This window comes from Homo sapiens, chromosome 5 (assembly GCF_000001405.40).
Source record: "Homo sapiens chromosome 5, GRCh38.p14 Primary Assembly".
Classification (NCBI taxonomy): domain Eukaryota; kingdom Metazoa; phylum Chordata; class Mammalia; order Primates; family Hominidae; genus Homo; species Homo sapiens.
Genome location: NC_000005.10, coordinates 145,358,192 through 145,384,822, shown reverse-complemented (window position 1 = coordinate 145,384,822; position 26,631 = coordinate 145,358,192). Strand labels below are relative to the sequence as shown.

Here is a 26,631-nt window from a genome sequence, read left to right as displayed (position 1 = left end):
GTGAGAGCCTGCTGTTTAAAATGTATGGCACCTCCCTGTCTTTCTCTGCCTCCTGCTTTTGCCATGTGACATGCAAAATCCTACTTCACCTTCCGCCATGATTGTAAACTTCTAGAGGCATGCCCAGAAGCTGATGCTGGAGCTATGCTTTCTATACAGCCTGCAAAACTGGGAGCCAATTAAGGCTCTTTTCTTACAAATTACCCAGTCTCACGTATTTCATTATAGTAATGCAAGAACAGCCTAATACGATTACCACAGATTATTTTGCCTGTTCTTATATTTTATGTAAATGGAATCATACAGTATGAAACCTTTCATTTCTGTTTTCTTTTATTCAATATATGTTTTGAATATTCATATATATTGTTGCATGTATTTATATATCATTCATTTATGTTGCTAGAAAAACATTCCATTGTATGAATATATTAGAGTTTGTATCCATTCTCCTGTTGATGAACATTTGCATTGTTTTCAGTTTTGGATATCATGAATAAAGTCATTTTGAATATATTGTGAAACGATTTTTATGGATTTATGCTGTCATTAATCTTGGATAAATGCCTATGTGAAACAGGTTGGTAAGTGGATGACCAATTTTACATTCTCTCTTTAGCGAAGTATGAAATGCCCAGTTCTTCCACACTCTCACTCACATCTGGTATTGTCAGTCTCGTGTAGCTTATCTATTCTTGAGTTTAAAATGGTGCATCATTGTGGTTCTCACTTTCACTTACTCAAAGGTTAATGATCTTGAGTATCTTCTCATGTGCATACTGGCCGTTAGTATACCTTCTTTTATGAAATGTGTTCAAAGTTTTAAATTGAATTGTTTGTGCTTTTATTAATGATTTGTAAAAATGTATTATGTATCCTATACTCATATATATACACACACATACATACATATATACACACACACATATATATATACACACATACATAGTTAAATATACACACTCAAATGTGTGTGTGTATGTGTGTGTGTATGTGCATGTGTGTGCCAATCTGTGGTCCTCTTTGGGTCTTCTCTTTAAGAAATGTTTGCTTACCCTAAGATCAAAAGGATATTTCTAATTTTTCTCACATTTTCTTCTAGAAGATTTTTACACTTAACTTTAACTTGTAGGTCTACAATCCACCTAAAATTAATTTTTGTGCATGGTGTGAGCTAAAAGTTGAGGTTTTTTTTTTTTTGCATGCTGACATTTAGTTATTTCACATCATTTGTTAAAAAGATTTTTTCCCTATTGAAGTGCATTGGCTTCTTTGATGAAAATCATCTGACTGTAGTTTTTATATGGGTTTATTTCTGGTTTCTCTATTTTATTATATTTATCTATTTGATTATTAGTTTACTAGTTTTATACTAGATCTTAGAAAAGGTAATGTATTTCAGCTTTCTCATTTGTACACACACACACACACATCCACATATGTGTGTGTGTATATATATATATGGACGTGTGTATGTGTGTGTGTGTGTATAAATGAAATAGCTGTATATCCGTACATATATGTGTGTATATATGTACGTATGTGTGTATATATGTATATATGAATGCATATATAGTTATTTGAGTATATATATATTTGAGTGTAAGATATATATACACACATGTATATGGATGTGTGTGTGTATTTCTGTGCTAGATTTTGGGTTTGCTTTTTTTTCCCACATGTTTTAGAATCAGTGTAAATTTTTTATTTTTAAAAAATTTATTGGGAAGTTGATTGAAATTGCATTGAGTCTACAGATCAATCTGGAGGAAATGATATCTTAACAATGTTGAGTCTTTCAATCTATGAATATAGTACACCTCTCCATTTATTTAGGTATTTTAAAATTCTCTCAGTAGTGTTTCAGAGGTTTTAATATAGATCATTGTTATATATTTTGGTAAAGTTTACACTATTTCATTTTTTATATTATTTTATTTTTAAAATTTCAAATTTTTATTTTAGATTCTGGAGGTACATGTACAAGTTTGTTACATGGATATATTGTGTGATGCTGAGGTTTGAAGGAAAAATGAAATATTTTCCAGACAAGTAAATGCTAAGGGAATGTGTTGCCACTAGACCAGCCTCATAAGAGATCCTTAAGAGACAGCATTTTTTGTAGTATGGGTCTGCTGGTAATTAGTTCTCTGGTTTTGTGTACTAGAAAATATCTTTGTCTTATCTTTCATTTTATTTTTGCTAGAAAAAATGCTGGATGGATATTTAATATTCACACTTTTACTTGAAAGACCATTTTATTGCCTTCTTGACTCTATTGTTTTTGACAAAAAGTTATCTGCCATTTTTATTATTATCTTGTATATAATGTATTATTCTCTGGCTTCTGTCAAGATTTTCTTATTATCTTTTTCAGAAATTTTACTATAAAATGTTTCATTTGCTGAGATTTTTGAATCTCAAAATTAATATTTTTCCAACAAATTTTGAAACATTTGGTCTATTAATTGATTAACTATTTTTGTTCTATTATCACTTTTATTTTTTTGGAACTTCAATTTTATGTATGCTAGACTGCTTAACATTATTCACACAGGTTACTGAAGATGTGTTAATCTTTTTTCAGTCTTTTACTATCTGTTCTTTAGCTTGTATACTTTTTATTGCTCTGTCTTCAAGTTAACTAATTCTTTCTGTGCTGTGTCTCATTTGTTAATAATTCATCCAGTGACTTTTAAGTTTCTGGTATAGTTTTTAAGTGTTAGAATTTCTATATTTTAAGGGTCTCAATTTCTCTTCTGAGATTTCCCATTCATCCTTTTGTTTTAATTATGACTACCCCCCACTTTAAAGTTATTCAATGTATTTTGTCATTTTTTCTGCTAAATTAAAAAAAAAAAAACTAAGTAATCCCAGGGTCTATTTCAATAGATTTTTTTTCCTCTTGACTATGCATCCCAGTTTTCTGGGTTTTAAATATGTGTCTTATAATTTTAATGAACACAGTAGATGATACTTTACAGAGATAATATGTTCTGTTATGCTCCTCTGTAGAATTATTTTTGTTATAGAAGGTTGATTATCTTGAACTTGTGGTATTCTTATCTTACTTTTATAAGAATGTCTTGTTTTGTTCGCAGAAAAATCTCTCAGTTCTGGATCATAGCATTTACTTCTGAGGTATGGCTGTTTTTGAGTTTCAGTGGAAGACTCTGACGTTTCAAATACCAAGGCTCTTTACGTTGTTGGGACCCAATTTGTTCTCCTCTACGGTGAGTAGCAGCTAAAATACCTTCTAAACTTTTTCAAGTTTTTGGCTGTTGATTTCCACTGAACTTCATATAATGTCATCCACACATGCACAATACAGACATCAGCTGAGAATTAAAGTTTGTTTTAGGTTGGTGAAAAACTAATTGTGGTTTTTGCCATTAAAAGTAATAACAAAAAACTGCATTTAATTTTGCACCAACCCAATATGTAGATTTTTGGGGCTCCCCACTCTGTGCCATTCTCTTTTTCAGGATTTCCCTCCTCATTTTCAAGCCTCTCTGAAAGTTCTGAAGTTTTTCTCTCACAATTTAATTCAGAAAGACTGCATCATTTTGCTTGAGTTTCAGGTGTTTTGATGGAAAGTGCCCTGCATGGGATAGATGCATAAACATGGAACTGACTTTGGTTTTGATCTTTTAAGAGTTGAATTTATTTAACTTTGTCTGTGTTTAATCACTCTTAGGGCCTTTAAATTATTGCTTTTTAGAGACAACTTGTTCAGAATTTGTAGTTTTTAACTGAAAAGGTGAATTCTATGCAAAATACATGCTACGATGAAGCAGAATTTCCAGTGGATCATTCTTTAAACATTTAACACCTATTTTATTATGTTCCATGGAACTAATGTTCTATGTTACATAGTTTTTGTTGTTCTAGAACATGCATAAAACCTGTGTCCCATAGTTTTTTAGGTCACCGATTGGATTTATTTTATTTATATAACACTTATCAAGACCCTTTGTTATGGATGACAATATTTTAGGCATTTGTGGGGGCAAAGTAAAAGAAAAGCTCATCAAAGCCTTCAAGGATCTCATATTCATTCTTTCATTCATTATTTCATTCAACTGAAACGTATTTAATGCCATTATAGTGAGGGAATCCAAAAATAGCTCTACTGTAAAAACTGGATGAAGTCTAAAGAGCAAACCAGTAGGTACTAAAATAAAAACAATATTCTGTAACAAAAAGAAAAAATATGTAAAATGTAATAAAACATACTTACTATGAATGTGTAAAATCAGAAGTGCTGATTTAGAGTGGAAACTACAGAAGACTTTGTTGAGAAGTTATATTTGAGCTGAAATTTTAAGTTAATCATGCCACATGGGGGCATTTAGAAAATAACTTTTGGAGGAGGACAAGGTGGCCGATTAGAGCAGCCAGGTGAAACAGCTCCCATCAAGGTACCATAAGAACTGGCGTGCTCCTAACAGATCTTCAGAGGGAAGGCACCAAGAGTGGATAAAGGGAAGACACAAAAGCTGGGCTGAAGGGGGAGAAAGCTGGGAATGCTGCATGGGGCTACCAAGTACTGGGACTTATTTCTGGCCCCCAATGGCTCTGGAGGAATAATTGAGTTAAACTGGCAAGGAGCAACCCACTGTTGCCATGGGCCTCTGGGACCCCGGCATGAGGAGACCCCTCAACCACCATGGACACTTAAATTAGCAGGGAGAGCAGCCTAGAGAAGTGGTAGGGGCAGCAAGGCAGCTGATGTAGAGCCCAGAGGGTTTGGTGCAGGAGCATGGCCATAGCAGACCATGGCCAGAAAGGGCCGTCCCCCTAGCATTGACTTGTTCCCATAGCCTTTAGCCCTAAAGGAACTGTTGGACCTGAACTCTGTAGGGTAGTCTTGCCCATCAGACATGGCTGGTCTGACCTGACCACCTGTTGGTCTGCTGGTCTCTCCTGGGGATCTAGCCTGGACATGCTTGCTTGAAGGGCAGTCTTGAGTGCTCTCGGGGCCCACACCATAGCTTCTGCTTCATAAAACATGCCTGACTTGCAGAGCTCCTGCAGGTTGGCTCCTGTGACCATGTACCAGCCTTCATGCTCCCTCCTTATGCTGTAGCTTCCCCTTGGCCCACAGCAACTCCCCACATTGCTTTGCTGTCTGTATGTCTGTGTGGTATATATGTATGTCTGTGCTCCATCCCTGCTCCCCGCTCCAAATTCCATTGCAGGTGAAGCCTTGGTGAGCAGAGCCAGCCATCTCTGCCACCACCAGCACCATACTCTGTGTTAACATTGCACAGAGAACAGGGGATCCTACCTCACCCTGAGTGACCACTCTTGCTTGCTGGGCACAGAGAAGCCATCTAGAACTGTGCCCACAAGCACCCTGCCTCCAAGCCAACACCACCTCCAGTACAACCATGCACATAATCACCAGAAGGAGCCCCTCACCCCTTATTCCAGCTGCATTGCCTCTGCCATTGTGGTGAATACTGACAGGGAGTCAGGCAGTCCAGCACCTACTAGGACTCTGCCACAGCTGCTACTATGAGACTAGATCCACTGTCACTGCACTATGAAACACTTGGCTGACACCACCCATTGGAGTGCAGTGACCAGCAGTCTGGGAGCACCTCCTTGGCCCCTTCCCCAGTGAAGTGGATTCCTATCATTAAGAAACCAGAGAACAAAGTTGGGACCCAGTACAAATCTTCCAGAATTAAAACATATAGTCTAGGAGTTGGGGGCTGTGCATTGGCCCCCTAAAATCTTCCAGAAATAAGTCCAGCTGGCTGAATCAACCTTATACGAGAATCAAACCCTCAAATTCATCTAATAGAAAAAAAAGAAAAATAATCCAAACTTCATCTAATAGAAAAAAAAGAAAAATAATCCAAAGGTTGACCCTCTCAAAGATTGAAGGTAGATAAGCCCACAAAGATGAAAAAGAATCAGCAAAGGAACCCTGACAACTTAAAGAGCCAGAATGTCTTCTTTTCTTCAAATAACTGCATCACCTCTCTAGCAAGGGTTCTGAACCAGGCTGAGATGGCTGAAATGACAGAAATAGAATTCAAAATATGAATAGAAATGAAGATTGTTGAATTACAGGAGTACCTTGGAACCCAATCCAAGGAAGCTAAAAAGTATAATAAAACAATGCAGAAACTGACTGACAAAATAGCCAGTATAGAAAATAATGTAACTGACTAATAGAGCCAAAAAATACACTACAAGAATTTCATAGTGCAATTACAAGTATTAGTGGCAGAACAGACCAAGCAAAGAAAAGAATCTCAGAGTTTGAATACTGGCTTTCTGAAATAAGACAGTCAGACAATAATAGAGAAAAAAGAATGACAAGAAATGAACAAAACCTCTGAGAAATGTGGGATTATGTAAAGATACCAAATCTATGATTCACTGGTGTGTCTGAAAGAGATGGGGAGAATGAAACCAACTTGGAAAACATATTTCAGGATATCATCCATGAGAAATTCCCCAACCTAGATAGAGAGCCCAACATTCAAATTCAGGAAATTCAGAGAACCCTGTAAGATACTTCAAAAAAGATCCTCCGCAAGACACACAATCAGCAAATTTTCTGAGGTTGAAATGAAAGAAAAAATGTTAAAGGCAGCTAGAAAGAAAGGTCAGGCCATTTGCAAAGGGAAGCTCATCAGACTAACAGCAGACCACTCAGCTGAAACCCTGGAAGACAGAAGAGATTGGGAGCCTATAGCCAACTTTCTTAAAAGAAATTCCAATCCAGAATTTTATATCTGGTCAAACTAAGCTTCATAAATGAGGAGAAATAACATCCTTTTCAGACAAACAAATGCAGAGGGAATTTGTTATCACCAGAACTGCCTTACAAGAGTTGTTGAAGGAAGACCAGTGATACTATAAAGCAACCACATAAACAATTCTGCAAAATAACCAGCCAACATCATGATGACAGGATCAAATCCACACATATCAATACTAGCCTTGAATGTAAATGGGCTAAATTTCCCAATTAAAAGACACAGAGTGGCAAGCTGAATAATGAACCAAGACCCATTGGTATGCTGCTTTCAAGAGACCCATTTCTTGATGGGTGAAATGACACACATGGGCTCAAAATAAAGGGATGGAGAAAAATTTACCAAGAAAACGGGGTTGCAATCCTAGTTTCTGACAAAACAGTCTTTAAGTGAACAAAATTAAAAAAAGACAAAGAAGGACATTGCATAACAGTAAAGGGTTTAACACAACAAGAAGATTTAACTGTCTTAAATATATATGCAACCAACACAGGAGCAACCAGATTCATAAAGCAAGTTCTTAGAGACCTTAAAAAAGACTTAGATTTGCACACAATAGTAGTGAGAGACTTTAATTCCCCACTGACAGTAGTAGACAGATCACAAAGATATTCAGGACCTGAACTCAGCACTGGATCAAATGGACCTGGTAAACATCTACAGAACTCTTCATCAAAAGCCAACAGAACACACATTCTTCTTATCTGCACATACTCTAAAACTGATCATGTAATTGGAAGTAAAACACTTCAGAGCCAGTGCAAAAGAACTGAAATCATAACAAACAATCTGTCAGACCACAGTGCAATTAAACTAGAAATCAAGAGTAATAAATTTACTTAAAACTATGCAATTACATGGAAATTGAATAACCTTCTCTTGAATGACTTTTAGGTAAATAATGAAATTAAAGCAGAAGTCAAGAAGTTCTTTCAAACTAATGACAACAAATATACATCAGACCAGAATCTCTGGGACACATCTAAGGCAGAGTGTTAAGAGGGAAATTTATAGCACTAAATATCCACATCAAAAGTTAGAAAGATCTCACATTAACAACCTAATATCACAATTAAAAGAACTAGATAACCAAGAGCAAACACAACCAAAACTAGCAGAAGACAAGAAATAACCAAAATCAGAGACGAACTAAAAGAGATGAAGGGAGAAGAAAACATTCAAAAAATCCACAAACCCAGACACCTGTCTTTCAAAAAAAATTATAAAATAGATAGACTGCTAGCTAGACTAATAAAGAAGAAAAGAGAAGATTCAAATAAACACAATCAGAAACAAGGGAGATATTACCATTGATCCTACAGAAATACAAACAACCTCATCAGAGAATATTATGAACATCTATGCACATAAAATAAAAACTCTAGAAGAAATGGATAAATTGCTGGATTCATACAGCCTCTTAAGACTGAACCAGGAAGAACTGAATCCCTAAACAGACCAATAACAAGCTCTGAAATTGAGTCAGTAATAGCCTACAAACTAAAAAAAGCCCAGGAACAGATGGATTCACAGGTGAATTCTACCAGATGTACAAAGAAGAGCTGGTACCATTCTTGCTGAAGCTATTACAAAAAAATTGAGGAGAAGGGACTCCTCCCCACCTCATTCTATGAGGTCAGTATCATTCTGATATCAAAACCTGGCAAAGACATAACAGAAAAAGAGAAAACTTTAGGCCAATATTCTTGATGAACTTTGATGAAAAAATCTTCAATGAAATACTGGCAAACTAAATCCAGCAGCATATCAAAGAGCTTATCCATCAAGATCAAGTAGGCTTTATCCCTGGAATGCAAGGATAGTTCAACATACACAAGTCAATAAATGTGATTCATCACGTAAAGAGAATTAAGGACAAAAAATACATCATTTCACAATACATGCAGAAAAGGCTTCTGATAAATTTTAACACCACTGCATGTTAAAAACTCCTAGTAACTAGGTATTAAAGGCAAATACCTCAAAATAATAAGAGCCGTCTGTGACAAACCCACAGCCCATATCATACTGAACGGCAAAAGCTGGAAGCATTTCCAGTGAAAACTGGCACAAGAAAAGAATGCCCTCTTTCACCACTTCTATTCAACATAGCAGCCAGCACTGGCACTCACAACTGCCTAACACATTAGCTCTCTGGGTTGGGGAAGGGCAGCATGCATCTCTATAGCTCCAGGCTGTGCTTTTCCCCTGCTGGAGCCAAGGGGCTGGATGGCTTGGCCCCAAGATGTGTTGCCAACAGCCCACCAAACCAGCTGTGGCAGATTACAGCCAGAGTGCCTTTTCAGGCCTGACCATGACTCATCCTTCCTCACTGCACAGGCCTTCCCTGAAGGAACTCCATTAACTCCAGCTAGAGGCTCAGGGACAGAACCCAGATCTCCCTGGGCCTGAGCCCCTAGGGAGAGGGCTGGCCCCAGTCTCTGCTGATCAGCAGACTTCGCCTTTCCTCCTTCTAGTTCTGAGGAATCTGGGCAGCCCAGATGAGCGAGTTTACCCCCAGCAAAGCACACCCTCTCCACCAAGGGACAAAGTGCTTCGTTAAACGGGTCCTATTCCCCTGGACACCCAACTGGGTGAGACCCTCCAACAAGGATTGTCAGACACCCTATACAGGAATGATTCTACTGGCATCAGATTGGTGCCCCTTGAGGTCAGAGATTCCTGAAGAAGGAGTAGGCACTCATCTTTGCTATTATCCAGCCTCCTTGAGTGACATTTTCAGATGCAGGTACAAACCAGATGAAGAGGTCCTGAAGTGAAACGCCAGCAAACCACAGCAGCCCTACAGAAGTGGGACTTGATTATTGAAAGAAAAACAAACAAGCAGAACATGACAACAATAAAAAAGCCCCCACAAAAACTGCATTCAAGGGTCAGCATCCTCAAACATTGAAACTAGACAAACTCACAAAGGTGAGAAAGAATCAATGAAAATATGCTGAAAACCCGAAAGGCCAGAGTGCCTCTTCTCCAAATGATCACAGTGTCTCTCCAGCAAGGGCACAGAACTGGATGGAGGATGAGATGGATGAATTGAACGAAGAAGGGTTGGGAAGATGGGTAATAAAAAACAATGCTGAGCTGAAGTAGCATGTTCTAACCCAATGCAAAGAAGCTAAGAACCTTAATAAAAGGATAGAGAAGATGCTGACTAGAATAACCAGTTTAAGTAGGAACATAAATGACCTGATGGAGCTGAAAAACACAGAACAAGAACTTCATGAAACATATACAAGTATCAAAAGCCAAATTGACTAAGTGGAAGAAAGGATGTCAGAGTTTGAAGGCCACCTTGCTGAAATAAGGCATGCAGACAAGATTAGAGAAAAAAGAATGAAAAGAAATGAACAAAGCCTCCAAGAAATATGAGACTTCATAAAAAGACCAAAGCTGTGATTGACTGGAGTACCTGAAGGAGATGGAGAGAATGGAAACAAACTGGGAAACACACTTCAGGATATTAACCAGGGAAACTTCCCCAACCTAGCAAGACAAGCCAACCTGAAAATTCAAGAAATACAGAGAAAACCACTAAGATACTCCATGAGAAGATCAACCCAACACACATAATTATCAGATTCTATAAGGCCAAAATGAAGGAAAAACTGTTAAGGACAGCCAGAGTGAAAGGCCAGGTCACCTACAAAGGGAAACCCATCAGACTAACAGCAGACTTCTCAGCAGAAACTCTACAAGCCAGAAGAGATTGGGAACCAATATTCAACATTCTTAAAAAAGAATTGTCAACCCAGAATTTCACATCCAGCCAAACTGAGCTTCATAAGTGATGGAAAAATAAAATCCTTCCCAGACAAGCAAATGCTGAGGGATTTTGTTACCACCAGGCCTGCCTTACAAGAGCTCCTGAAAGAAGCACTAAATATGGAAAGGAAAAACCAGTACCAGCCCTTGCAAAAACACACCAAAATATAAAGACCAATCACACTATGAAGAAACTGCATCAACTAGTGTGAAAAATAACCAGATGGTATCATGGTGACAGGATCAGATTCACACATAATAATACTAACTTTATTAATATAATATATATTATATGTTATAACATATAATATCATATATATTATGTTATAATATATAATATCATATATATTATATATGTTGTAATATATAATATCATATATATTATATATGTTGTAATATATAATATCATATATATTATATATGTTGTAATATATAATATCATATATAATATATGTTGTAATATATTATATCATATATATTATATATGTTGTAATATATAATATCATATATATTATATATGTTGTAATATATAATATCATATATATTATATATGTTGTAATATATAATATCATATATAATATATGTTGTAATATATAATATCATATATATTATATATGTTGTAATATATAATATCATATATATTATATATGTTGTAATATATAATATCATATATATTATATATGTTGTAATATATAATATCATATATATTATATATGTTGTAATATATAATATCATATATATTATATATGTTGTAATATATAATATCATATATATTATATATGTTGTAATATATATCATATATATTATATATGTTGTAATATATAATATCATATATATTATATATGTTGTAATATATAATATCATATATATTATATATGTTGTAATATATAATATCATATATATTATATATGTTGTAATATATATCGTATATTATATATGTTGTAATATATATCGTATATTATATATGTTGTAATATATATCATATATATTATATATGTTGTAATATATATCATATATATTATATATGTTGTAATATATATCATATATATTATATATGTTGTAATATATATCATATATATTATATATGTTGTAATATATATCATATATATTATATATGTTGTAATATATATCATGTATATTATATATGTTGTAATATATATCATATATATTATATATGTTGTAATATATATCATATATTATATATGTTGTAATATATATCATATTATATATGTTGTAATATAATATATATATTATATATGTTGTAATATATAATATCATATATATTATATATGTTGTAATATATAATATCATATATATTATATATGTTGTAATATATAATATCATATATATTATATATGTTGTAATATATAATATCATATATATTATATATTAATATAATAATAATATATAACCTTATGTAAATGAGCTGAATGCCCCAATTAAAAGGTACAGACTGGCAAATTAAGAGTCAAGACCCATTGGTATGCCATATTCAGGAGACTCATCCCACATGCAAAGACCCACCTAGGCTAAAAATAAAAGGATGGATGAGAATTTACCAAGCAAATGAAAAGCAAAAGGAAGCAGGGGTTGCAATCCTATTGTCTGACAAAACAGACTTTAAACCAACAAAGATCAAGAAAGACAAAGAAGGGCATTACACAATGGTAAAGGGAACAATTCACCAAGAAGAGCTAATTATTCTAAATATATATGCACCCAATACAAGAGCACCCAGATTCATAAAACAAGTTCTTAGAGACCTACGAAGAGACTTAGACTCCCACACAAAAATAATGGGAGATTTTAACACCCCACTGTCAATATTAGACAGAAAATTAACAAGGATATTCTTAGTGCCACATGGCACTTATTCTAAAATTGACCATGTAATTGGAAGTAAAACACTCCTCAGCAAATGCAAAATAATGGAAACTGTAACAAACAGTCTCTTAGACCACAGTGCAATAAAATTAGAACTCAGGATTAAGAAACTCACTCAAAACAAATCAATTACATGGACATTGAACAACCTGCTCCTGAATGACTCCTGTGTAAATTAGGAAATTAAGGCAGAAATCAGTAAGTTCTTTGATACCAATGAGAACAAAGAGACAACATTCCAGAATCTCTGGGACACCCTAAAGCAGTGTTAAGAGGTAAATTTATAGCACTAAATGCCCAAATGAGAAACTGGAAAGATCTCTAATTGGCACACTAACATCACAATTAAAAGAGCTAGAGAGGCAAGAACAAACTAATCCCAAAGCTAGCAGAAGACAAGAAATAACTAAGAGCAGAATTGAAGGAGACAGAGACACAAAAAACTCTCCAAAAATCAATGAATCCAGGAGCTGTTTTTTTTTTTTTTAAATTAACAAAATAGACCACTAGCTAGACTAATAAAGAAGAAAAGAGAGAAGAATCAAATAGACACAATAAAAAATGGTAACAGGGATATCACCACTGACCCCACAGAGACACAAACTACCATCACAGATGCTATAAACATCTCTAGGCAAAAATGGATTCACAGCTGAATTCTACCAGAGGTACAAGGAGGAGCTGGTACCATTCCTTCTGAAACTATTCCAAAGAATTGAAAAGAAGGGACTCCTCCCTAACTCATTTTATGAAGCCAGCGTCATCCTGATACCAAAACCGGGAAGAGACATAACAAAAAAAGAAAATTTTAGCCCAATATTCCTGATGAACATTGGTATGAAAATCCTCAATAAAATACTGGCAAACCAAATCCAGCAGCACATCAAAAATGTAATCCACCATGATAAATTGGCTTCACTCCTGGGATGCAAGCCTGGTTCAACATACACTAGTCAATAAACATAATCCATCACATAAATAAAACCAAGACAAAATCACATGATTATCTCAATAGATGCAGAAAAGACCTTTGATAAAATTCAATATCCCTTCATGTTAAAAACTCTCAATAAACTAGGTATTAATGGAAGACATTTTAAAATAGTAAGAGCTATTTATGACAAATACACAGCCAATATCATATTGAATGGGCAAAAGCTGGAAGCATTGCCTTTGAAAACCGGCCCAAGACAAGGCTGCCCTTTCTCACCACTGCTATTCAATATAGTATTGGAAGTTCTGGCCAGAGCAATCAGGCAAGAGAAAGAAATAAAGGGTATTCAGATAGGCAGAGAGGAGGTCAAATTGTCTCTGTTAGCAGATGACATGATTGTATATTTAGAAAACCCCATCTCAGTTCCAAAACTCCTTAAACTGGTAAGCAACTTCAGCAAAGTCTGAAGATTCAAAATCAATGTGCAAAAATCACAAGCATTCCTATACACCAACAATAGACAAGCAGATAGCCAAATCATGAATAAATTCCCATTCGCAATTGCTACAAAGAGAATAAAATACCTAGGAATACAGCTAACAGAGATGTGAAGGACCTCTTCAAGGAGAACTACAAACCACTGCTCAAGGAGATAAGAGAGGAAACAAACGAGAAAACATTCCATCCTCATGGACAGGAAGAATCAATATTATGTAAATGGTCATTTTGCCCGAACTAACTTACAGATTCAATGCTATTCCCATTAAACTACCATAGACATTCTTCGCAGAATTAGAAAAACTACTTTAAATTTCGTACGGAATCAAAGAAGACCCCATATAGCCAAGACAATTCTAAGAAAAAAGAACAAAGCTGGAGGTATCATGCTACCTGACTTCAAACTGTACTACAAGGATACAGTAACCAAAACGGCATGGTACTGGTACCAAAGCAGACATATAGACCAATGAAACAGAACAGAGACCTCAGAAATATTACCACACTCGACAACCATCTGATCTTTGACAAACCTGACAAAAACCAGCAATGGGGAAAGGATCTCCTATTCAATAAATGGTGCTGGGAAAACTGGCTAGCCATATGCAGAAAAAAATAAACAACTAGACCCCTTCCTTAGACCCTATGCAAAAATTAACTCAAGATGGATAAAAACTTAATGTAAAACCCCAAACTAAAAAAACCCTAGAAGGAAACCTTGGCAGTACCATTCAGGACATAGGCATGCGCAAAGGCTTCATGACTAAAACATGAAAAGCAATTGCAACAAAACCCAAAATTGACAAATGGGATCTAATTAAACTAAAGACTTTCTGCTCAGCAAAAGAAACCAGCATCAGACTGAACAGACAACTACTGAATGGGAGAAAACTTTTGCAATCTATCTATCTGACAAAGGTCTCATATCCAGAATTTACAAGAAAAGATAATTTACAAGAAAACAAATTTACAAAAAAAAAACCCATTAAAACGTGGGCAAAGTATATGAACAGATACTTCTCAAAAGAAGACATGCAGCGAACAAACGTGAAAAAAAAGCTCAACATCACTGGTCATTAGAGGAATGCAAATCAAAACCACAATAAGATACTGTCTCATACCAGTTAGAATGGCAATTATTAAAAAGTCAAGAAACAATAGATGCTGGTGAGGCTGTGGAGAGATAGGAGCACTTTTACACTGTTGGTGGGAATGTAAATTAGTTCAACCATTGTGGAAGACAGTATGGTGATTCCTCAAGGATCTAGAATCAGAAATACCATTTGACCCAGCAATCTCATTACTGGGTATATACCCAAAGAAATATAAATCATTATACTATAAAGATGCATTCACATATATGTTTAGTGCAGCGCTATTTACAATAGCAAAGTCATGGGACCAACTGAAATGCCCAACAATTATAAACTGGATAAAGAAAATGTGGTACATATACACCATGGAATACTTCACGGCCATAAAAAGGAATGAGATCATGTCCTTTGCAGGAACATGGATGAAGTTGGAAGCCATCATTCTCAGCAAACTAACACAAACAGGAAACCAAACACCACATGGTCTCACTCATAAGTGGGATTTGAGCAATGAGAACACATGGACACAGTGAGGGAAACAACACACACCAGGGCCTGTTGGGTGTTGAGGGGCTAGGGAAGGGAACTTAGAAGATGGGTTAATAGGTGCAGCAAACTACTGTGTCACATGTATGCATATGTAACAAACCTGTATGTTCTGCATATGTATTCCAGAACTTAAAATATTTTTTTAAAGAACAAAATCATGTTCATTACAGGAATATGGATGGAGCTAAATGCCATTAACTTTAGCAAATTAACACAGGAACAGAAACCCCAAATACTGTATGTTTTCACTTATAAGTGGGAGATCAATGATGAAAATACACGGACACATAGAGGGGAACAACACACACTGGGGCCTATCGGAGGGTTGAGGGTGTGAAGAGGGAGATGATCAGGAAAAATAACTAATGGGTACTAGGCTTAATACTTGGGTGATGAAATGATCTATGTAACAACCCCTCCGTAACACTAGCTTCTCTGTAAAACAAACCTGCACATGTACCCCTGAATTTAAAATAAAAATTAAATAATGAAAAAAAACAACAACAAAAAAAATGAAAGAGACTGCATTAAAACCTTACCATTGAAAGAATAAACTTAACCAGAAAAGAAAGCCTATTATTAAGAAATAAAAATCTGTTATGGGTGACTACATCTTTTCAGTGGGAATAAAAGATAAATAAAAATTGGAAGAAAATGAAAACCAACAAGAAAATAACTTTTATATGAGAGGGATCCGTATGTGTAAAGGCCATGAGAGACCAGAAGTAAATGATCTTTCAGACATACTAAGTATATATTAGGGAGAGGAGAAAGTTCAGGATGATGTTCAGGGTTTGGCATTTCCAAGGCATTGGGTGTGGTTCCATTTTCAGTGACGTGGGGTATGGGCTTAAATGCATCAGTTTGGTTTGGACATGGTGACTTTGAGGTGTCTCGAAGATGCCAAACTGAAGACATTAACTGAAGTTAGGTGTACCATTTTGGAGCTAAAAATTGGCATTTTGCCATTCTCCCTCCCTTTTTTTCAGCCAACCAGAAAAATTGGTGGCTTTAGAGCCGTAACACTATGTTGAGCATCCCATTTAAAACATTCAATCATTTAATATTTGTTAATAGTGCCATGTACATTCTAGGCATTGAACTAGTTGTTGAAAACAGATTTGGATAAGACAGACAAAGTTATTATCCTCAAGAAACTCATGTTCCAGTTGGGGAAGACAGGCAATAAATATATAAACAAATAAATAACCAAATAATAAAATTTCAGACAACATCGACAACCCCGAATGACAGAATGTGGAGCAACAGGAACTCTTATTAATTGATGGTGGTGGCTTCTTACAAAACCAAACATAATTGTATCATATGATTAAGCAATGTGGCTCCTTATTATTTACCCAAAGAAGTTGAAAACTTATTTCACATGGAAACTTGCAAAAGAATGTTTATAGTAGCTTTATTCATAAAGCAATCAAGATGTAGGTTGCAGGTGAGTGGATAGATAAAAATGTGGTTCATCCAGACAATGAAATATTATTCAAAAGACATGCGCTATCAAGCCATGAAAAGATATGGGGAAGACATAAATGTATATTACTAAGTGAAAGAAGTCAATTCAAAAAGGCTACACACTGTATTATTCCAATTACTTGACGTTATGGAAAAGGCAAAACTGTGAAGACAGTAAAAAGATCAGTGGTTGTCAGGGATTAGCAGAAAGGAGGATGCATTGGCTGAACACAGAAGATTTTTAGTGCAATAAAACTGCTCTGTCTGATACTATAATGGTGGCTACATGTCATTATAAATTTGTCCAAACCTATAGAATGTACGACACCAAGAATGAATCCTAATGTCAACTGTAGACTCTGGGTAATTATGATGTATCAGTGTAAGTTCATCAGTTGAAATAAATGAATAGCTGTTGTGGGGAATGTTAAAAATAGAAGAGACTGTACATCTGTGCAGACAGTGAGTATATTAGAAATCTTGGTACCTTCTGCTCAGTTTTACTGTGAACTGAAAACTGGTCTAAAAAATAAAGTCTACTTAAAAATTCAGACAGTGCTTTGAGGAAAACTAAATTAGAACAATAGTATTTTGGGTTGAAAGGATGTGAAACTTTATATAGAGTGGTCAAAGAAGGCTTTTCTGAGGAGTCAACATTTCATCAGAAACCTAAAAGATGAGATGAGAGAAAAGAATCATATGACAATTTTTAAGGAAAAGTGCAGACAGAGGAAACATCTAGAGGAAAGCTTTGAGGTAAGAAGAAGCTAATTATCCTGTGTGACTGGATTTCACTAGATGAGGGAAAAAATGCTAGAAACCTGATTATGTATGGCCTTCTGGATAAAATATCCTAATCAGACCAGCTTACCTATTGATGGCTTTTAGAAGCCTTTTAACTCCTTATTCCTACTCCAATATGATAAATCAGAAAAACATTTCAGAAGAGCAAACAATGGCAGGAGTGTCACTTTTTGAGTATTTCCTTGAGATTGTAGAAAATTTAGAAAATGGAGCATCTATGGATATCTCTCATCCTGTGTCATCCACTTGTTTTTGTTTGAGGAAACAGAAGACAAGATTGGTGGCTTAAAGTATGGTGTGATGCTGTATGGAGCACAGAGATACGCTTTGGTTTGTGAGAACACAGACAATTTCAACAGAAATAGTCAAAGTATTTCAACAGTAAAAGCTATGTGGAAAAAAGAAGATGAGAAAATAAATTTTAATATAACATTATCTGTCCTGTTACTTCAACCCGATGTAATTTAAAAGGGCAATCTTACTACCAGGAGCTGTCTAATCCTCTAAACAATGCTTGGCGACAATTGAAATACCCTGTATCCTTCTGGACTGTCATTTAGCTTATTTGGGGGGATTTGACAAATCACATGTTTGCCAAATAAGCAATACTCCAAATTCCTGTTATTTTCTCTTTTCATTCAAATGTTTCCAAGTGTCAGAATCTTCCATGGGAAATAATCGGCCCTTTTTGGAAGGTATAAACGTGCATGCAAATCAGAGTTGCAGAAACATGAATATGGAGCTATTAGTGTCATGCCGCAACTGCTCAGGTTATTTATGCTCAGATTACTGCTTGAAAACAAGAATAAACTGAGAGAATTTGTGGATGGAGAACATCACCAAAACCTTGTCTAATAATTGTGAAACATGTGTCCTCTATGGCTTTCATTAAAATCCTTTTCTCCCTATTCTGTCCCCAACATACCCACTTAAGTTAATTTAGGTAAAGTCTGCACAGGCAGATTGAGGTAGGGAGGTGAACTAAATCATACAGATATCTATTTTAGAAATAGAAAATTGCTATTTAGAAAAAAAGACCCATTTTTGCCAGGATGTCTAGAGAGCCTTTTTTATACCACTTATATTTATCAGAGAACCACTTACTCACTTTCTACTTTGTCAGTCTTATTTTTTATGTCTTATTTATTCTGGAGACTAGGGAGGCCTAATGAAATCAGTTCTGCCCTGTGGATTTTTAGGGGCTCCAGAAAATTAACCCTAGAAAGATTCTGAAAGATCATCTTGTCCTACAGTCTTGTTAAGACCCAAACACTGAAACATTTGATCTAGGCCACTCCATCAGTTAGTGGTTGAGGGAGGCACATTATTTATAGACCATGATCTGTCTCTCTGCCAGACCAGAATAACTCCATGGAATGTTTCTATCCGGTCCAATTGGTTCAGTTATTTCAATACATTATTGCTGCTGCACACTGAGCCCAAGCACAGTGAATGCTCTTTGTGGCAGGTACATACGCCAAAATTAGGTTAAATTTTCCCTTCAGAAATTTCTTTTTAAATACCCACACATGAACAAATGGACAGTTGGCTCCACGTGTAAGTCACAATCTTTTACATAGATTAAATTAAATTTATAAAATTTTATTTTTAATTGACAAGCAATATTCATATTTATCATATATTTATGAGGTACAATGTGATGTTTTGATATATGTTTGCATTGTAGGATGATGAAATCAAGCTAAATAATAAATCTATTACCTAAAATACTTATCTTTTTTGTGGTGAAAAACATGTAAAATCCAATCCTTCAGTAATTTTAAAACACACAATGCATTATTATTTATTATGGTTACCACTCTGTGCAATAGACCATTAAAGCTTATTTTTCATTTCTAACTGAAATTTCGTACCCTTTGATCAACATCTCCATCTCCATTTCCCCATTCACTTGAATCCCCCAGTTTCTGGTAACTACCATTCTACTCTCTACTTCTATGAGTTCCTATAAGACATCATTATATGGAGAAGTCTCAATTCAGTTTTCTCTAGAAAGAGAGCAAGAGTCAGTCAATAAAAATCCTTTCTGACTACTTTGTGTAGTCCAGCACTTTTACATTAAATTTCCTATATTTATTTACCACTGGAAGGTCTTAGATTAATATTTCCTTTTGGGAATTTTCAGAAATCCTTTTCGATAGGACTTTGAGTTTGAGTGGGCTGCAGCGAGTTGTCAGGATATGCAGGGAATCAAAGAAGTGGCAGTGCTTTTTACCACCCAGCAATCAATATGTGTAAGATACTATGTAATTTGGTGAAATCCAAGTGTTGTCTGCATATACCATAGAATTTTATTTTTAGGCAAATACCTGAAATGCTTAAGTTTACTCTCCAGGAGCTACTCCTCTCCCCTTATCTAATGTCTTTCTGTTGTAGTAGCCTGGTCATTTAATCCACAGCACCCCACTTCATTTATTTGATATCTAACAAACATTTGTTAAGTACTACTGTGTATTTGACACTCTTTTAAAAGCTGAGGATCTATGAGTAGATAAAACAAATGTTCTCTCCTTAGGGAGCTTACATTCTAATGGAGGAACAGGACAATAAAGCAGGAAAATATGACAGATGATTTAAAGGTACATTAATTCAACAAATATGTAACTTATTTCAGTATGTATCCTGGCATGGATGAGATTAGAGTGTGGCAAATTTTCTATTTTCTAGAAATTAGAGTCAAATAGTTGTAATGCATCCCCCAGATGCCAAAAATATAATCAAATTTTCATCAGAATCCGGAAACTTAAAGGCACTGTGGACAGAGAAAGCATTTCAATTTGGATATCGACAGAATACTTCTCTCTGTGTTTATTTTAAGCCAAATAGCTTTTCTTTCAGTTTTGTTTACCTTTGGTATTTGTATCACACTCCTATTTTCTTCTGATAACCCATTAATTTAAAAGTAGCTCTTATGAAGCAATAGTGACTTTTCCATTATTGGGTATCTGTTTCAAAGTCATTTAATCTTCCAAGCAGAATTTGTTGTGTGAAGTTTTATGCAGCCAAGAATAATTTATTTGCAAATGTAGCAATAGCGTACAATCAGCCAAAGAAGATTTTTTTCTCCAAATAATATTCTACTGAAAGTTTAAATGTTTCTAGTCTATGTTTCATTAGAATTTGAATAGGTATGTGCAGCTACTCCAAATGTTCACTGGTAGTGAAATATTATTTGGGAAACAGAACGCTGTAAACATAACTCCTTTCAGAATACCAACACATTCAAATTTCTACTCAAGGCAAATATTATTTGGAAGGCAACATTGTTTGAATGAAATAATACAATTCAGATGATGATTATAGTCATGAACTAAAGAACTAATTAATTTGGCAAATATATTGTAGGTATAAAGATACAATTTCTTACCATGGCTATTAAGAATTTTCTCTTTACTCTGCTTTAATGGTATCGTTATAAAAAGTTGTAATAAACATTAGACATTTAAGGAATATTTTAAAATGATCTATGAGGGGATATTCTCTGTCACAACACTTGCACAATTAGCCTAAATGAGACTTATGGGCTTTCTTATTAATGAGTCAGAGGACTTAAGAGTTTTACTATTTTTAATGGCTGCTCCCTCAGTACTTGTCACAGGATTTTGATTTTACTTACTTTAGAATATAAAGAGGCTGTCACAATAATCCCATAGCAAGACAAAAACTGGAAGAAACAGTTTCCCTAATTTGGATACTAATACATTTATTTGGGGCCCTTAAGAGTTGTTTAGTATTTAACATTTTGATATGTACACATCTTATGGATATCGACAATGATAACTGGCTATCAATGTTCGCTAGGTAACATATTCGCTATTCTTTCTCACTAGGGTGATATGTTTGTGTTGAGCTAGCCACATCATTTTCTCTGTTTTTTTTTTTTTTTTCTTATAGCCATGATATGTGGCTAGAATCAAGAATGCAGGCCTTGTTTTTTTTTTTTTGAAAAACTAATTAATCTCTATGGTGGAGAAGAAAAAAGAATCAGATTTACATCTTTTGACATTGCAAGTGTAAGGTCTAAAGATTTAAATTAAGAGAAGAAGAGGTTGAGGTAGGGTGACCCATGGTGTGGTGTCAAAACAGATATGAATAAATTTAACTTATTTATCTACCATATATATGGGTTTTGATTTCCAGCCATCAAGCACTGTCTGTATGTCTTAGAAAGATCTATTCCTTTCATGGCAGCCAAAACACCATGTGAATATGAGCACTTCTAAAAGTTTTTGGCCAGGATTTGTTACTGATATATCATTGGCATAAGCCTAACTATGTCTATTCTCATGGTCTTCCTGGTGTTGTATTAGTAAGCCTAAAATTCATCATAACTATTTTTTCTCCCTTGGTCCAAGGTCCAGGACCTATAGATGTAAGATTTGTTTTATTTTCATCAGATCAGTGAAATGTTATGTATTCATCCAGCCATTTAGAAAATATTTATTTAGTGCATATTATATACCAGGTTCTGGGCCATGATCTAGCAACACAAAAATGAGTGAAATTAGAAACTTGCTTTAAGGAATTCAGGAGAAACAAATAAGGAAGTGAATCATGACAGCAGTATGATAAGGCTGTGATGGTGGTATGAGCATGAGTCAATGGAAACACGTTGCAGAAAGTGCTTAACCTTGTCTAAAGATGTTAGTGAATATGAAGTCTTCCTAACTATGCGAGATGAAACCTGAAGGCCAGGTATGAGGACACTGAAGAGAATCAGATTCCTTAGTTTCTCTGTCCTCCAGCCTGTATTTTTCTTTTGAAAGGCTTCAAATACCAACATTTAAACACACTGTCTTGACTAGGAGGTAATTCCCAGCCTTGCTTTCCTTCCTTTCTTCATTTAGCATATATTTATTAGGTCCCCAAGATAAGCACAGCACTAAACAAGGCACTGGAGATGGTAATGAATGAGATAGACATGGACCTTATGCTTGTAAAATGTGCATTCTAGTAATGCTGCCATAAACATATCATCATCCAAGTACTTGTTGAATCATGATTGTGTTGAGAGCTGTGCAGAAGAGCTATAAGGTGTCTGAGTCCATGTCACAGGGAACCTGGCATCATTGAAGGCCAAAGAAGTTTCTTGAGTGGCTGAACTTTCAACCGAAATCTGGGACATGATTTGGGACTTTCCAGAGAAAAAGTAGGGAAATTGCCTCCCAGGTAGGAGGACAGCTTGAGTGAAGGCTCTGGAAATGAAAAGAAGGCCAGCCAGTGTAAGCCAGAGCTCACAGAAGGCTAGGTGTGGTTCAGAAACTCAGAACAAGGCCAGATCATGAGGAGCCTTGTGGGATGTTTTAAATGTTGGACAAAGGAAAGACACTGAAGATGTTCTTGTTGAGGTAGGAGTTGGGAGACTCCAATATGCATTTAAAAAATAGCCCTCTGCAGAGCTGTGGTGTGCAGATTTGGTCAAAGAACAACTCTTTTGTGGCCCTTTACATACCAGTCTGTCTCTTAAGAAATGCTGAATATAAGATTAAATGGATGCATTCTCAATAGGGACCAGAGCTGTATTGCTGACATCTGGCTCCTGCCAGCTGTTTGAAGGAACTCAGCAGTCAGCAGAAGATACCATAGAGGCAGGCATCTTTCGGGGAGCATCATGAAAATTGTGTTATTTGGTCATTGGTTTTACTCTGCCACTCGGTCTTCAGCCTTGCTATTATCTGCCTTCATTTAGAAAGCACTTAGCAAGGTTAAACAATATGTGATTTTGAGCTAAGGTGTTAAGGGCTGATTATAATTTATAATGCCTCCTTCTCAGAAAACAGTTGCATTTTTAAACACCAGCTTTTAGTTTAGAGTCTTTGCACAGCCTTGAGTTTTATGGCAGTATCAAATACTATGGCAGGAATGTAAGAAAGATAACTCAAAATAGAAAAAAATTTCCAGATGTTTTTCATATAAGATCATCATTTAACATTTGAGCAGTGTTTTCTAAGGATTACAAAATATTTTTACATAGGCTTTAATCCTTTTAACAACCTTGTAGGTGGGTAAGTGAGAGGACTGAGGTAGAATCATCTGCTTGATTCCCTCTACAGCACATAGTAGGATACTGTATCTTGATGGAATTTAGGCTGACATAAGTATTATATATGCAATAAGGATATCATATTTATTTACTTATATGCCAGCTTTTGAAACAAAAAGATACATGAAACAAAATTATTATAATAGTATCATAAAGAGAAATTATGAACTAGAAATAGAAGTAGAGATCTGCTCATTCAAAGGATTGGAATTATTATAACTCCATATCAAATAGAGTTATTGACTTCCTGGAATCCAAGTCAAAAAGGAAATCTAATGGATCCCTTGGTTTTGTAGTCAAGAACAGGTGGTGGTAAGGAGCATCAACATTTTTTATATTGTTGGCATTAAATTTTGAAAAGTCTTTTTCACACATTTTATAGAATGGACACTGAATATTGAAATGCACAATAGGCTCAGGGGCTGTTATTTTCCAGACAAAACCTACTTGAATTGCAGCCCTCTCTGTTCTGATTTCCAGGTCGGGACACTGTAAGGGTTTGTTCCTATGTCATCTTGCTGGACCTTCGTCTTTCCTTTCTTGCATCTCTGTGGGAGATCTTACCTGCAGTTCTCTATTGGCTACACTCCTGCCTCCTTACTGCTTATGCTTTTGCCTTTTCTGTCTTCTCTGTTGTCTGTTTCACTCTGCTCAGTGCCTTAGAAATGTCAGGACTGCCTTCCTCCTGCCACTCTTTGGGGGATGCCCACGTGGTGGTGCCGACCTACCCTTGAATCCAAAGTACCCTTGGGGGTGAGTCTCCCCATTTGGAGTCACATTGCCCTCTTTCTTTCCATTCTGGCCAATATTTCTTGTTCTTCTGGCCTGCTTTTGGAGGAGGAGGACCCACAGGAGTGTGGCTGGTTCCCTAGTGATATAGTCTCTTCAGCTTTGTGATACTTATGGCACCTGCCCAAGCCTTGGGCTTCATATACCTCAGCAGGTCTGACATATTTCTCAAATGTAGCCATTCCCTCAGGAATTCTTTTTTCTCTAGTTTATGCCTCACGGTCAATCCAATATGTCTGTACAAAATTGAACCTCACTGTGAACATGCTTAAAATTTATTCCCATGAGGATCTTTTGAACTAATGAGAAGAGTGGGTAGGGCTTGGTAGTAGAGTGTTTATAACTTAACATGCAAGCATACTTGGGACTCAGCTCTGAGCCAGCTGGGATCTCATTGCAAAAGGATGAAGAGGTGGACTTCAAATACTATTTCATGTAATAACCTCTGATAATAGTCTTTAAACAGCAATTCAATGAAGAGTGTTCTATGAGGCTAATGTGGTACCAGTACATAGCCTTCCAGCTTTTTAACTTGCTCCAAGGAGTGGCTTTCGATAGTAGAGGAGCAAATGGATAGTTCTGTAACCATGCTTACTTATCTGAGACTGGAAAAATCGATTCTGCATCTTATTTCTACCATGTGGTCATAATTGATGTTGTGACAAATGTGGAAGAACAAAGGAAACTTTCTGTTTTCTAGTTGAAATTCCTAATGGTCATTTTCTTGAGAAATTCTAAACAGTCTTCCTAAATAGCCAATCTCATTTCCTGCAGCCGTATTCCTGATTGAGAACAGGGAGAGATTAATGGAGGATGGCTGTGGTTCAGTCTTATTGGGCAGCTGTGATAGATTGAATGCCACCAGCTGCATAGCACTAGGTATTCTGGCAAATCCTGTTTCTGACAATATACTATCCAGAGTATTGATTATGCTAACCTCTAGTTGTAAATTCATGTCTGGAGTGAATACTTGCAATAAAGCCCATTTGTCAAGCACAGGCTTAATCAAAGATTATAATTGGCATTAATGAGTCCTCAGTAAAAGAACAGGTTTGGAGTACCAGTTAAAGATTGGTCCATGTGAGTGCATCCATCAGTAATCACCATCTGGAATGGAAGCTGACAGCTGTGCAGGGAATTAGGGAAGTGGCTGCTGGGATACTTTCCTTTTTGATGGGCAGGTGCCCAGAGTCCTCATTATAAATTATGCTTGGATTGAGTGGATGACCTTTTTGGCAAAGCTAGTACTATCATCCTTTAATGTTTTCTTGTGAGAAATCCATTCTGAAGAAAATTTTAAAAGCTTACAAAGAAGAAGCAGAGGGTCAGTTTAAACTTAATTCCAGAACTTTGAATTTGCCAATCATGATTTTGCAGATATTTTGCATGCACATTTGGAAAGCAAAATCAAGACCTCTTTCTACTTCTTCATCCAAGGATCAATGTCAAAAATATTGAAGGGACCATTTTCCCTTTCATTGGATTTTATCTTTTGGGTATCATCTGTGTCTTAATTCCATTACATTAAAGAGATGACCTTTTTCTTCTTTGGCTTTCATCTTTTCTCCCTTTGGTCACCCTCTTATCCATGAGACTAGAGTTAAAGTGGGCTAGCAACTGTTTTCATCTGGCAGAAGACTGTATCCTGTCTTTCTCTGTGGCTCTGGCCCAGCAGTCTCATTTCTGTGTGAACTCATTGGAGAGTGTAACCTCCTGTTGTCCTGGGAAACACCTGGATGGAAGGGCGGGTGACCCCAGCCACCCCCACTGCTGGCAGCAAGGTGGGACAATGGCTGCAGAGCTCAAGCCTAGAGGTCCTACTTCTGCTTGAATATGCTGAGGGGCACAGCTTTCTGTTGCACCAGAAACAGCCAGAGGACAAGGTGAACAACTCCATCCACCTCCTCCCTCTCATAGTCAGAAGGACCACACTTGCTAGAAATTCCAGCCCAGTGGTTCTGCCTCTGCCTGAACCCTGTA

The 26,631-nt window shown here is 35.9% G+C and overlaps 1 protein-coding gene across 1 annotated transcript in view; it reads left to right on the top strand.

The window, feature by feature from the left end:
* PRELID2 (PRELI domain containing 2) overlaps nt 1–26,631 on the top strand; it is a 606,358-nt gene that overhangs the window by 450,520 nt on the left and 129,207 nt on the right. Inside the window, exon 8 of the transcript XR_007058586.1 lies at nt 3,105–3,236. The gene's annotated coding sequence lies outside the window, so the exon portion shown is untranslated. The remainder of the gene's footprint in view (nt 1–3,104; nt 3,237–26,631) is intronic.